This window comes from Homo sapiens, chromosome 5 (genome assembly GCF_000001405.40).
Source record: "Homo sapiens chromosome 5, GRCh38.p14 Primary Assembly".
NCBI classification, from domain to species: Eukaryota; Metazoa; Chordata; class Mammalia; order Primates; family Hominidae; genus Homo; species Homo sapiens.
The window spans coordinates 96,679,958-96,694,969 of NC_000005.10; the positions used below are offsets into that span (position 1 = coordinate 96,679,958).

The 15,012-nt window shown below is 37.7% G+C and overlaps 1 protein-coding gene across 21 annotated transcripts in view; it reads left to right on the top strand.

The window, feature by feature from the left end:
- CAST (calpastatin) overlaps positions 1–15,012 on the top strand; it is an 813,255-nt gene that overhangs the window by 718,529 nt on the left and 79,714 nt on the right. The gene's annotated exons all lie outside the window — the stretch shown is intronic.

The following is a 15,012-nucleotide window of genomic DNA, read 5'->3' on the forward strand; positions in this document are numbered from 1 at the left end:
TAATTATTATATATGCCAATTTTAGTACTTTTTAATGATTGTGTAGCTAAAATATAATTATTGGAAAAAAATTAGAAAGTACCAGAGAATTTAATGAAAATAAACACCCTTGGCCAGGCGTGGTGGCTCATGCCTATAATTCCAGCACTTTGGGAGGCTGAGGTGGGCGGATCACAAGGTCAGGAGTTCAAGACCAGCCTGGCCGATATGGTGAAACCCCAACTCTACTAAAAATACAAAAATTGGCCAGGCGTGGTCGTGGGTGTGGGCGCCTATAGTCCCAGCTATTCGGGAGGCTGAGGCAGGAGAATTGCTTGAACCTGGGAGGCGGAGGTTGCAGGGAGCCAAGATCACACCACTGCACTCCAGCCTGGGCAACAGAACGAGACTCTGTCTCAAAAAAAAAAAAAAAAAAAAAAAAAGAAGAAGAAGAAAAGAAAAATGGAAAATAAACACCCTCATCTAGGATTCTAGCACCTAGAGAAATGGGCACTATGTACATCTTGGTGTATTTTCCTGCATCTTTTTTCTTTGTTTGCTTATTTTGTTTACTGAAATGCTGCATATCTTGATTTTTAAGCAGAAATAGCAAAGGAACACCATTATAGGGCCTAGTCTGAAAATGATAAATAATGTGCTTTGTGATAGATAAATCTTTTCCAATTAAAAAAAGACCCATCAGTGTGTGTGGCATTTAAGTATATAGAAAACCATTATTCAAGCACCTTGGCATTCAGTATGGCATTTAATGTTCATTATTTTGTGCTCTGTTTTTGAAGGGAGGAGAAATTTACTTCTTATTCAAGAAGTAATTTGTGACAGTGTTCCCACAAGTGATTTAGCTGTCATTAGCAAGTTCTAGAAGAGTACTGCAGCAAACATTTTAACATTCTTTTATGTCATGACAAGAGAGTTCATACTAGTTGTGGGGAGTCGATTGTGGCTGCACAAGCTCATGTCTCAGTGCCAAGAAAAGCTAAGCCGAAAAGCTGCACCGAGGCAGTCATGCCTGGCTCACCGGGATATCTAGCCCCAAGAGGCCAGCACAGGCTCGCACTGGGTGCGACTTGGGAGCTGAGTCTGACTTGGGAGGCTAAAGTGACTCTGGGAAGTTACAAGATTCTTTTCAACTGTGGTTTCCCCATTTTTTCATTTGAAATTTTCATTTATTGTTTCATTGACCAGAGTATTTTCTAAGATATTTTTTTCAGGGAGGGAGCACAATGATGATTTTCTGAGTGTGTGAATGTAAGCATGTTTTCTCGTTGGTGACTCACAAGAAAGTCCATCAATACAAAATTGTACAACATCCTTGGGTCACAGTTTTGTTCCTCAAAATTCTGTATCTATTGCTTCGTGGTTTTCTGGCTTTTTGTGCTTCAGAGATGTCTGAGGCAGCCTACTTTTGACTTACTTTTTAGGAAGCCTATTTTTCTTGCCTTGGTGCAAGATTTTTTTCTTTTGTTCTTACAATTTAAAAATACTACCAGGATGGGCCGGGCGCGGTGGCTCACGCCTGTAATCCCAGCACTTTGGGAGGCCGAGGCGGGCGGATCACGAGGTCAGGAGATCGAGACCATCCCGGCTAAAACGGTGAAACCCCGTCTCTACTAAAAATACAAAAAATTAGCCGGGCGTAGTGGCGGGCGCCTGTAGTCCCAGCTACTTGGGAGGCTGAGGCAGGAGAATGGCGTGAACCCGGGAGGCGGAGCTTGCAGTGAGCCGAGATCCCGCCACTGCACTCCAGCCTGGGCGACAGAGCGAGACTCCGTCTCAAAAAAAAAAAAAAAAAAAAATACTACCAGGATGTACTTATATATTAATATGTGTTTTTCTTTATTAATTTGTCTTGGAATGTCTGTTATTTCATTATTTCTTTAATTATTACTCTTGTTTCGGTTTCCCTTGTTTCTTCCTAAACCTACATATGCAATAGTTCCTCTTTATCAGCTGTTTCGCTTTTCATGATTTCAGTTACCCACGGTACAATACAATGAGATATTTTGAGAGAGAGAGACCCCATCCACATAACTTGTATTACAGTATATTGCTATAATTGTTATATTTTATTATTAGTTATTGTTGTTAATCTCTTACTGTGCCTATTTTAGAAATTAAACTTTATTATAGGTATGTATGTATAGGAAAAACCATAGTGAATACAGGGCTCAGTACTATTTGCAGTTTCAGGCACCCACTGGGGAATCTTAGAATATATCCACTGCAGATAAGAGAGACTACTGTAATTCTGACATTAGACATTCACTAATCATCTGCCTCACAATTTTCTTTTGCTGACATTTACCCTTGCACTCTAGGAGAGTTTCTGAAGTTTGCCCCCCACATATTTTATTTCTAAATTCTGCTCTTTGAAACTTCTAATACAGGTTTAAATTTTGGTTTTCGTTTTTGGTTTCTTTGTGTCCCCTTCTTATCCTCTCTTACCTCTTTGTCTCACTCCATTATCATTCCATCTCAATCTATAGCTCTTTACTCCATTTCATGAAGGTAATACCATCTTGTTTCCTATCAAGGATGTACACTTTTGTCTGAATTTTCTTCTTATTCTGTATCATTTTATGAGATCTGTCTTTTTCAGTCTTCGGGGTAATGATGCCCTCTGCCTTTCTCTGTGGTGGTTTTGAGAGGCAAAATTTCTTTCTGATTACTCTTTTAAGGAGAGCTTGGCCTACTCCTAGAGCTTGTCAGCTGTGATGAGCACATTGTCCTTAGCCCTGCTCTTCATCTATGTCCCTGCTAACTAAATCTCCTCAGACCTACAGCTGTTTGGCAGGTGAATATGCACAATGCTGGTAAAATCCCCACTACCTAGTGGACTTTCATTCATTACAGAACATCCACTGTATGAAATGAGATGCAGGGAATAACTCCATTTTTTAGCAAGGATTGCTAATGCGGCTTTTTTTACCTCCACCCCCAAGAAGGCCACTTTGTACTTAGGACAACTACTCCCCCAGGTGCAGCATGCTACTGCCACACCCTGCGCACAACCCATCCTCCCACACCCTGCCCACTCCACTGAACGCACCAGATTTCTGCTTAGTTGGTTTCCAGGATTTGGATTTGGAATCTTTGACTTGGGTTAGAAAGAGAGGCACTAATGGGGAATAAAGATAGGTTGCCTCATGAAGAGGACTCCTACCAAAGAGGTTTGACTGCTAGGTTTTCTAGATGGCTACATTTCTGTGTGGAGTATGAGCATTCAGGAAAGAGGGGGTCTTTCAGGGACATAAGCTTGCTCTGTTTCAGATGCATGACACAAGTGGTTCACCAATTGTGCTTTTCAATATAGTTCCATTGGCTTCGATTAGGATGGAGATTCTGCCTAGATTTTTGGCATTTGGTAGGCTTCCTTTAGTGTTTGGTTAAGTTCTGCTCTCTTCTATGAGAAAATGAAAAAATAGAAACTTCTAGAGACAATATTTTATACCAGGAATTCTTGAAATTGGCTCATAATGACAGTGTTCAGCTTCTTGAATCAAGCTCCTCTATTCTAGTTTGCTTGGAGTGAAACCTATGAAATGGCTTTCCACTTTAAACTCTGTTCTGTGTATCATTCAGCCCCTCATGAGTTTTAACAGAGGGGCAGGAGGATTACTAGCAGGACATGATTAATCATCACAGGGCATTTGCATCACCTCTTTTGTGGTATTTCTCTGTGTGGTCCCGGTACATTTGTCTTTCTCTATAAGTCTTCATAATGTTGGTCACTGCTTGTTTTCCTATGAGCAAAACTTATTTACATAGATATTAGAATTATTTTCCTATGTGGAATGTGTCAGATAGGTTTTCATGAGCACTGCATGAATTTAAGTTCAAAGCTACAATTAAAACTCCTGGCATTATGTAGACATTAAAGCAATCTATTTATCCTAAGATACAAATTCAGTTTGAATTCTGAGAGAAATTTAGAAAATTTACAAAATTTAGGACAAAAACTCTGTGCCATTCTGAGACCACAGTGAGAGCATCTTCTTTCTCATCTGTTGTGAAAGCTTTGAAGAGCCACACTCACAACTCAGTTAACCTGCTATTGATCTGTGGTTTCTATAGAAGCAGCATATGATACATTCTGAGTGTAGGGTTTAGGGTCCAATGCCTGGATTTAATTCCCAGCTCTGCTAATTCCTAGCTCTGTGTCTTTAGGCAAGTTACTTTGCCTCACTAAGGGCACATTCCTTATCTGTAAAATGAGGATACTAATAGTTCTTACATAAGAGTCAATGTGAAGAACAATCAGACCATCCATATGTAGTGTCTAGAACAGTGCCTGGGACATATGAGGTGCTCTATAAATCTTACCTCCTGTTATTGTTATTATTATTATTGGTGTTACTTTATTATTATTAGCTCAGTAAAGAGAACTTGTTTGGCAATAAAGGTGAGTCTCGTATTGATGTCTACCTATGGGATGGGGCAGGGCTCAAATTCTTTGGTTGATTATATATTGCAGCACCTTCCCATTAAAAAATGAGGGAAGTTTGATAGTTTATTAACTTTAGTAGCACTTTTGTTGTAAAACCAACTACATGCAACATGCAGAAACATACGCCAATAGCTAGAACTAAAGACCTCTGCATCACTATCTTTTTTTTTTTTTTTGAGATAGAGTCTCACTTTGTTGCCCAGGCTGGAGTGCAGTGGTGCAATCTTGGCTCACTGCAAACTCTGCCTCCTGGGTTCAAGCGATTCTCCTGCCTTAGCCTCCCAAGTAGCTGGGACTACAGGTGTATGCCACCACGCCCAAATAACTTTTTTAAAAAATATTTTTAGTAGAGACAGGGTTTCGCCATGTTGCCCAGGCTAGTCTCGAACTCCTGACCTCAGGTGATCTGCCCACCTTGGACTCCCAAAGTGCTGGGATTACAGACATGAGCCACCATGCCAGACCGTATGCATCACTATTCAATGAGCTGTTTTATCAGAAGCTAAGGATGTACTTTTTAAAAAGAATATGAAAATAATGTGCCTTTAAATTAAGAATCTGTGATATACAAAATGTTGTATCATTGGATAGGGAATGGTATTAAAAAAACAACTGAACACTTTGCCTCTATGAGAGAATATATAAATATATATATATAAATATATCAACATTATATCATACAATAATAATATACCCTTCATTATCTTATTTTAGATTTATGAGCTGAATTACCTAAGATCTTAGGTCCCACCAAATTGTCTCTGAAGAGATTATATTTTATTGCTTGTGGAATCAGAGTAAAATACTAACAAAATATTGACGGAATTGAATGGATGTTCAGTTCACTTCAGCACAGATCATAAGCACTAGAAACCTCATGGACAGATGGATTAAATATTATTCCAGAAATAACATGTTTAAAGTTAACTTTTTTTATTCTTCAGACTTTCTTAGCTTCTCAAAAATAATGGGATGACTGGTTCAAAAGGGACAATAACCTGAAATCATACCCATAGCAAGATATCTGTCTTATCTAAGGACTGAATATGTATGATTCTTATCGTAATGTCAATATTATTTTTCCACATAACAAAATACATAATGGCTTGTACATTATAAAAATAGTTCATTTGTGAGAGCAAAATCTCATGGCAAATTTACATCATAGTCTTTTATTTTCAAGTATCATTATTACAGAATGCTTAGTAAATGTGTAGAGCATTGTATTAGTACCAAAACAAATTTAAAACTCTCTGTTTCTCATTTTTCAGGATATGGCATGAGATAATGCAGTGATTATCAACTCTTTTTGTGCCTAAGAATCACCTGGGGATGGTATGAGAAATTCAGACTCCTAGGCTCCATCTCCAGAGACTGATTTAGATCTAAGGTGGGCCCAAGGAATCAGTATTTTTGCCAATCACTCCAGGTGATTCTTCTCTTATGCCAGTGGTCTTTTGAGCACATTTTGAGTAACACTGAAATAATTCTTGTGGAGTGCATAGCATGGTGCGTAGCACACATAAACATTGATTTCTTTATTTCTTTTTTCTTTCATTTTTTTTTCTTTTTCAAATGACCTCTCCTTTTCCCCCCTGACCAACTCACTCTGCCATATTGTGGGAATACAGTAGAGCACACTAAGAGAGCTGCAGTTTCAGAGTCAGTGGACCTTGTGGGAGGCTTTGGTTGGAGGGATCAGTTACTGATACTATTTCTTCCCACTTCTCCCAGGACCTTGTCCTTTAGATCTTTTGATTATTCCTTTTTTTTTTCACTCTTTATTTCATGACTCCTCTTTAGACTACATATTAGCTCAATCTTCATCATAAACTGTTTTAAAGCAATTCCTTTGAAACTGCTCAAGCTCCAATTCCATCTCTGCCTCTAACCCTCACTACCAAAATTCCTGGTTAAAATTATTGAAGAAAAGAGTGTAGAGAGAGAAGAGAGAGAAACTAAAATCAAGTGTTGATAAATGCCTACATGTAGAAAGTGGGAAGGATAACTCAAGTCAAAGAAGCAGCAAGCAAAGAGGTAGAGGAAGCTGGGTGCTCCCTGTCATCAGTGTGGGGGGTGCAGGAAGAAGTGGAGGGTCAGTAGGGCTGAAATGCTGATATTTCCAGAGGGATGGGGGCTGAGGCAAGGTCCTGATTGGAGACTGGGATAGTATCAGTTCTCTTCCAAGCTGTTTTTGTGGAGTAATAGAAGGTTTCCATTGTACTGTGATTATGATTGAGAGGGTGCTGAGTATGTGGAGATTCTGCATGGTAGATTCTTCTTCCAATGTATGTAGATTTATGTAAAGAACAGCAGATAAAGCAATGAAAAATGAAGTCAGTGTTTACTTACACAAAAAGAGATAAGTTCTGTAAGGAAAAAAATATTCATGTTACTTGTTAAACAATAGTAAGGCAGACTTCATTCCAGACCATTGCTATAGGTGTAGGGACCACTGCAAGGGAATTTTGCAGTAAGAGGGGAGAAATTATAGGGGTGGCTGGTTTTTCCAAGAGTTGACTCCATAGCCAACCTTAATTTTAACAATCTAATTCCATGTACATCATTCTCAAATATTGCATTCTATTATAGTTATTCAAGGCCTTGGTAGTATTTAGCTCCAAATATAATGAAGAAAAGTGGGGATTTTTAGCTAGGAGCAGGGCCAGGGATCGTTGGATGGAAAATTAAAAGGAAACATCAGGGATAAGGCGGATTCTGGGAAAAGTGACCTATAGGATTCTTGCTTAAGGCCAGCGGGTGATCAGATCTCACCTGGCGGATGGTGGAGGATGAGGGGACTTGATCGGATAGCAAGAATGGAGGATTCTGACTAAAGTAGCCTGTCAGTATTCTTGCTATGAGTGGGTAGTGCAGAGATGAACGTGGAAGTCCAACAATGAGGCCTAATTGAAAAAGAGCTCAGAGGAGCCTGATTAGAATTTAGTCAAGGAGAGAATCTTTGTCAGTGTGACTGAGACACTTCACATGTTATAGATGTCTTGGATTGTTTGGTACTGTTCTCTGCCAGTTGTTTATTGATAAATGAATTCATTTATTAATTAAGAAACATCAAATAAGAAAGATGTTGTTTGGAAAGAACTAACAAGTGAATTCTAAAAATTTGTTTGTCTTAATCATTACGATTCTAGACCTCCTAGTTTGTTATTCACATTAAAGTTGGTATTTTTGGGCTCTCTCTTTTGCACATCAAGCCTCTCATTCCTAAATGATCTAATTCAAGCTTAAGGACCAGAATTTTTGGACTTTAGTACCATTCTAGAAATATATCATTCTAAAATCTGAAATCTACAATTTTGAAGAAAACTATTTATAGGAAACTGAGAGCTAAAACAATCTTATAATAACATCCCATTTTTGGTTTCACTTAGTACTTAAGATAAAAATTGCTTCTCTGAATATAATTTTGTCACTTTTTTTCCTGTGTACTTTCTTAATACAGCAAGTAGACTCAGTAAAATCTGATACAATATACTTATTTCACTAGTGAAATTGAAAGCTGAATGACTGGCGAATTTAAAAGATAATGAGGGTTCTTACTACCAGCGCCAATAAGAAAGGTTAGACATTTGTTAAACGTGATATGGTGCTATCTGCCTGCATGTTAACCATATAGTTCAGGGGACACCCAGTGGTTAAAAGTAGGTAATTCCTTGCTGTGGTACAGTGTTAAAAAATTATGGAAAAATATATTTCTTGGCTCAGCAGTGATCACACATTGTTGATTTTTTCTTTCTGAATGAGTACATGTTAGGATGTGTGTGTGTTTTGAGAAAATGTTTGGTCTTGACTTTATATATAAATTTTCTTTGAATAATAAAAACTCACCAACAATTTTGAAAATGTTAGAAATATGATTAAACTTTTCCTTTAATTAAAACAAATTAGAAATGTGGAACAAGTGACTGCGTCATAAATAAGAAAAGCCTTTTTGACCCAGAAATCCCAATTCTAAGAATGTATTCCAAGTATATAATCAGAGGTGTACATGATGACTTACTTATATCCAACGATATTTATCATAGCTTTATTTATAATAACAACAAACTAAGAAGGAAACACCTGTATGGAAGTTAAGTAAAATCATAGCGCTGATATACTGACGAAGGCATTTTTAATACTGTGTTTTGAAAAACATTTAATGACAGGCAAAAATGCTTATATTAGGTAAAAATCTTTCTAAATGTAAGATTACAATTCTATTCATATAACATACTTATAATATGTTATCATGTGCATATTTTTGTATTTGTATAAAAATAGGAAAAAACTGAAATTAGTTGTCTTGGATGACAGGATTTTAAGTAATTATTATTTCTTCTTCCTACTTTTTTTAATCTTAAGTGTATTTATTAAACCAGAAGAAAAAGAACAATAAGCAGCATAGATAATAAAAGAGTAAGATAAGAGTGTTTTACCAATGACCAGAAAAGTACCCATGCATGTATCTGCTTAGACCTTAAAGAGAGAAGTGCTGTGTATTTGAGATTTTTTACTTTGGGGCCCCTAAGAGATACTTTCAGAGCAAGGCTGCTGCTGCTGTGTGTGTGTATATGAGTGTATGTTTTGTGTGCTTGTGTGTAGGGGTGGGGGCACACACACGTGTTTGAGTAGAAAAGCACCTCTTAAATACAGACAGAAAATAAGAACAAAGACAACTTGGAGGGCAAGAATACTGAAATATTTTTAGTTCATATTCTCTTTGGAATCTGATGAAACTGTGATCTTTTCTCTGAAAGCTACACACATGTACGAATACAAAAAATACTCTCCAAAATGTTACATACAATTTAAAGAGGTTTATATGCACACACTATCCCCACCCTTGTAGGGACAATCTTATCAAGTAGATATATTTAGGAGGCACTATGTTATAGTATTTTCCTAGGTGGCTTGCTGATGTCTGAAATTCTACCATTAACAATTTCCTTAATCTTTCATTGCCTTTTTCTGCATCTTCTTTTAAACTGTAGGTATTTCTAGGTAATATATTCACTATTAATGCCCTTGTGAGAACTAGTTTGGCAGGAAAGGAAGAGAATACCGTAAGCATTTTTTTTCTGTAGATTCTGTAAAGGTAGTAGAGCACCAGAGATCATTTGATGAAAATAGCTAACACATAAATAGGCATTATATACACATGCAAATACATGTGTGCACACATGAGCACACACATGCGCCTTATGGCAACCCCATTCTCCTGATAAGGAAATTGAGGCACAGCTTGATTAAATAACCCATCTAAGGCCACACAGTTATTTAATAATAGAACCCAGAATTGAAATCACTTTCCAGAGTCTGTGCTTTTAACTAGTATCCGATACTCATCATAAAATTACTTATATTATGAAGTCTACCTTATAGATGGAGGCCAACTCCATAGACTTTCTTACTTCTATTGTCATTTTTTTGTTATTCACTTTTCTACTTCTTCATTTCCCTCTTTCTTCCTTGTGTGATGCCCTCTTTTCATTCAAGATTATATAGCAAGTTCAGTCATTCCAATTCCCATGATGTAGGTATAGCTATTTTCCCTTTGTAGGTAGGAGATGAGGCTCTGAGGGAAGCAGAGGCAGAGCCCTAGAATAGTAGCATTGTCCTGACTCCTGGTCAGTGCAGCAACCTCAGGACTAAAAAGACTTGAGCTGGACTACCTTGAGGGGTTCCACTTGAGATGACACACGGAAACTGAGTAATCAGAAAAAAGAACAACAACAACAAGCAACTCACTGGAGTGTGCTCACCATAGTGGGTGTTATTAAGGGCCTAGAACATGGGACATTTCATTCAGTATGTGAATTTATTTATTTATCTATTTTTTTTTGAGATGGGGTCTTGCTCTGTTGCCCAGGCTGGAATGCAATGGTGTGATCTTGGCTCACTGCAACCTCCATCTCCCAGGTTCAGGCGATTCTCCTACCTCAGCCTCCCAAGTAGCTGGGGTTACAGACATGCGCCATTACACCCAGCTAATTTTTATTTTTAGTAGAGATGGGGTTTCACTATGTTGGCCAGGCTGGTCTCGAACTCCTGACCTCAGGTGATCCGCCTGCCTCTGCCTGCCAAAGTGCTAGGATTACAGGCATAAACCACTGCACCTGGCCTCAGTATGTGAATTTCTATGTAATATTATGAGTTAATGGTAAGGCTTATTCATTATGACTTAGTGTTTTTTAGAGCCAGCATATTGTATTTACTGCTTTGCACTTGCAGTAGCACACATTTATACTTCTTTTGGTAATAAAAGCAATTTGTACTTATTTGGTCACCACTTAAACTATGGTGTTAAAAGAACATTTGTAAATAAGAGTCAGAGTTTTATAATTGCTAGTGTTGGAGAATCTGTCTACACTTTTGAAAGACAATCTTTTTCTTGACACTGTTTTCAAATAAAGCATGTATTTTCATGTAGAAACACAAGACTTCTTGCCATTTTATAGGACAACTACTAAGTTATGGAGTAGATTCTTAACAAATATGTCAAAACTTACATATTTTAATGAGAGTTTTTATCTTGAAAAATACATTTCAAGAAGTCTAAGAAATGTGTTGTTATGCAATTTTATCATTGTGGAAATGCCAGAGTGTACTTACACAAACCTAGATGGTAGATACAGCTTTATTTATATATAGTTTTTCATATAGAAAACTAAATGTCTCAGCATCATGACCAAATATTAGTCATTTCCCCTACTTGATCTGCAATGCCAATATCATGTGCCATACATCAAGTTTCTGTATATGCTCCATTATAATCTTATGGGACCACTGTTCCATATACAGAAAATGCAGTCTGTTGTTGAGTGAAACGCCCTTATTCAGCACATGACTACATAGATTTCTTATTATATCACAATATCGCATACTCTAAAAGCTGATCTGGTCCAACCTAACAAAGCTTGAAAGCAAATCTCAAAAAAATCAAACTGTTTCCAAGTAACTTAACAGTATCCCATTATTAGAATCATGAGCTAGTTCTAAGGAAAAAATTACATTTTTCTATCCCATAAAAGGTTATTATTTTTTATAATTGTATACATAATAAAACTCATAGAAAATTTTCAGCAGCCACTAAGTCTTCTCATGTGTACCAACCAGACCCACTGGGGTTGCCCTGCAGAGGTCAGTCTGTTCCATTGCTACCTGGGCAAGGACTTTGGGCCTCTCCCTTTAGAGCCAGGATTTTCAACCTGTGGGTCACAGTCCTCAGGATATGTTGTAACTCATTTAACCCTCAAAATCACCTTCCGAGGTATGAGCAGAGTTATTCACCCTGCTCAGAAAACTGGTGTTGAGAAATGTTCAGAAACTTGCCTAAGATCTCATAGCTGGCATTTGGTGGAACAGGACTCTTGCTATATAAATCATAAGATAGAACCATTATCCTAGAGAATGTGGTGCCTTTCTTCACAGAGTCATGAAGTCTCAGGGTAAAACATGTGGCTTCACTCAGGGAGCCTTTTCTAAGATTTTAAGTGACAGTGACACAGCAACTCTTTGCCTGGCTCTTGGAACTTCATTGTTATTTTGAAAATTTTAAAGACTCGAGTTCTGATTGACTCAGTAAAAAATTTTTTCTCTGAACTACAATAGATATACAAAAAAGTATGCAACTAATTCTTTTCATGCCTTCTTGCAACAGATGGTGCAATATCATATAAAAATGAGCTTGTTTTGAGAGTTTCTACTTACTGTGAGTAGATGAATTCTTTCCTCAGGGTGGATCCAGCCCTATCACTAGTTAGTGAGTATGCAGATCTAGTGAGCTAAGAGATCTGTTCAGGGCAGGGTAGAATTTCTAAGGACTGATGCTGATGTTAAGGAGTATAAGTGTGAAGAGATACCAACAAAACTAAGCACAAGGTGACATGAAGCCAGAGGACGTTGAAAACCTTGCACCTGGAGGCAAGGGAGGACTCAGGGGGTCAGGTAGTAACCTGAGAAGACTAGGAAGCAAACCAGATCCTGGAAGAAACTGATGATCCCAAACTCATGTGACTATAGGGCTATTCTGATCCCACATCACTTCAGAATAAATATTTGATCCTGCATTTTGTTTCATCTCATACCATACATGCCTGTACCCAGCATGCTTTGGCTGCACTGGCTTCTTTCTGCTCCTCCTGCTTACCAAGCCCATTCTTACCTCAGGGCCCTTGCACGTGCTGCCCTGTCTACCTAGAATGCCTCCTTTCCCTCATCCCATATATACACGATTGGTTTCCACACAGCAGTCAGGTGTTAGTCAAATGTCACTTCCTCATCCATCCTGTCTGAAGCAACCCTGAGCCAATCACTCTCTGTTACCTCATCCCATCTCACAGTCTGTTCAGGACTCACCATTCTCTGAAGTCATCTTGTTTTTTTGTTGACTTACTTAAAGGCTGAGTCTTTCTACTGGAATGTAAGTGCCACGAGGGCAGGAGCTTTTTCTGTTTAATTGGTCATTATATCCCCATTGCCTAGAATAGGACCAGGCTCATAGTTTTCCCAATGAATGAATGAACAAATGAATATGTGAAGTCAGACACAAATGAAGAAAGGGGGCCAAAACAACATGTAATTAAACTCTGATTACCAATCTGAAAGTAAGGAGTCTGCTCTGTATATGGGTGCATTTCAAGGCTTTTGCATTGTATTTTCAGTGCCAGATGTCAACAAAGGGCTTAATAAATACTTGTTAGATAAAAATTTAATGAAAGATGATTTTACATATTCCAGTCTCACTTCAGCTGAACTACATTGGTCCTTTGTGGACTAAGTAATCCAGGCAGCTCTGAGAGCAAGCCAGTCTTTAGGGGAACAGATCATACCCACAAGAAAGTTGAGGGAGCCTCCGTTAAGTTAAAAAACATTTCGTTTATTAGTAAGTCATTTTCAGCATATAAATTAAGTTTAAACAGTCATTATTTTTAACTTAATAGTTTCATCACAGCCAAAATACAAATTTTTAAATTCTCATTGGCAGATCCTAATTGGCATATTGTAAGTAGTGGAATCCATTTATAGACTTTAAGTATGTGGGCTTTGATGTAGCGAATGGAATCTGTAATTAGCCCAGGATTGGAACATGGCCTTCCTCAATTGTAGCTAAGATCAAAAGCTAATAGCTGGAGTTTGGGACAGCTGTGTCACATTGAAAACAGACCTAACCTCCTTCAGTTTCCTCGCTGGAAAATGAGAGGTTGAGATAGGTAATGAAGTTGAAATGGATAATGCTACTGCTGTATTCTTGTCTTTATGTCTTACGTCCAGTCTTTTACACAGAATCCATTTGTACATTAAGGTTGTCAGAAGCTATTTGTTATTATTTGTGATAATTTAAAAAAGACTAGCAATCTGGATAAAATGTGGGTTATCCCCTCCTTTTACCATCTCACATATCACACCTGCATCACTAGCTTCTTAGCAGCCTCTTTTGTTTTTATCACATTTATCTAGGTTTTTTTCTTTCCTTGGTTGATGGTAGTAAGTGTATGCTTGGGAGAGACTATTTATTCTACAGATGATGCCTGGGAGCCTGAACTCCTGCAAATGCCTGTGAGGCCCCCTAGAGTGGTTGGCGAGTGGACACATAGAGATTGTGCTTTGAGGACAGCAAACTAAGTTTTGATTTTGGGGCATGCTAAGGCAAAATTTACCCTGAAGGGAAAGAAGACTTCAGTTCAAACTTCCATGGCATGCATTTTCAATAAATTAGAAAATATAAATTTGGCTAAATATTTCTTCTAAATATTAAAGAATGAAACCAAATTATTCTCAATTATACATATAAAATATTTGTTGCATAGACATAGAACACTTTAATGTGTTATATGCTAGCTAATTTATGCATTATCTTGCCTTGTGTATTCAATATTTACAGTACATTATTCACACTTTATTGACCTTGGAGCATATCACCATTTTACATTATAAAGCTTTATACTTGGCCAGGCACGGTGGCTCACGCCTGTAATCCCAGCACTTTGGGAGGCTGAGGCAGGCAGATCACGAGGTCAGGAGATCGAGACCATTCTGGCTAACACGCTGAAACCCTACTAAATATACAAAAAATTAGCTGGGCGTGGTGGCATGTGCCTGTAATCCCAGGTACTCAGGAGGCTGAGGCAGGAGAATTGCTTGAACCCAGGAGGCGGAGGTTGCAGTGAGCCGAGATCGCACCACTGCACTCCAGCCTGGGTGACAGAGCGAGACTCCATCTCAAAAAAACAAACAAACAAACAAACAAAAAAACTTTATGTGCTTGCTTCTTTGAAATATAGATATTCATAAGAAAGAGAAAGAGATACAGGATATGAAGGTCTTGTTGAGGAAGCAACTGTGTATTTTACTTTTCCTTTTTCCCCCATTTATTTTCTTTTTCTCAATTAAAATAGTTACATAAGAAAACACAAAAAAGCCCAAGAAGGATTTTTTAAAAATTACTCTTCACACCATCAGAAAATAACCTCATATGACCTTAAAGGATCATACTAAACATACTATTTTATAATTTAACTTTTCTTCGTATAAAATATGAATAATATGTTTTTATTTAATGA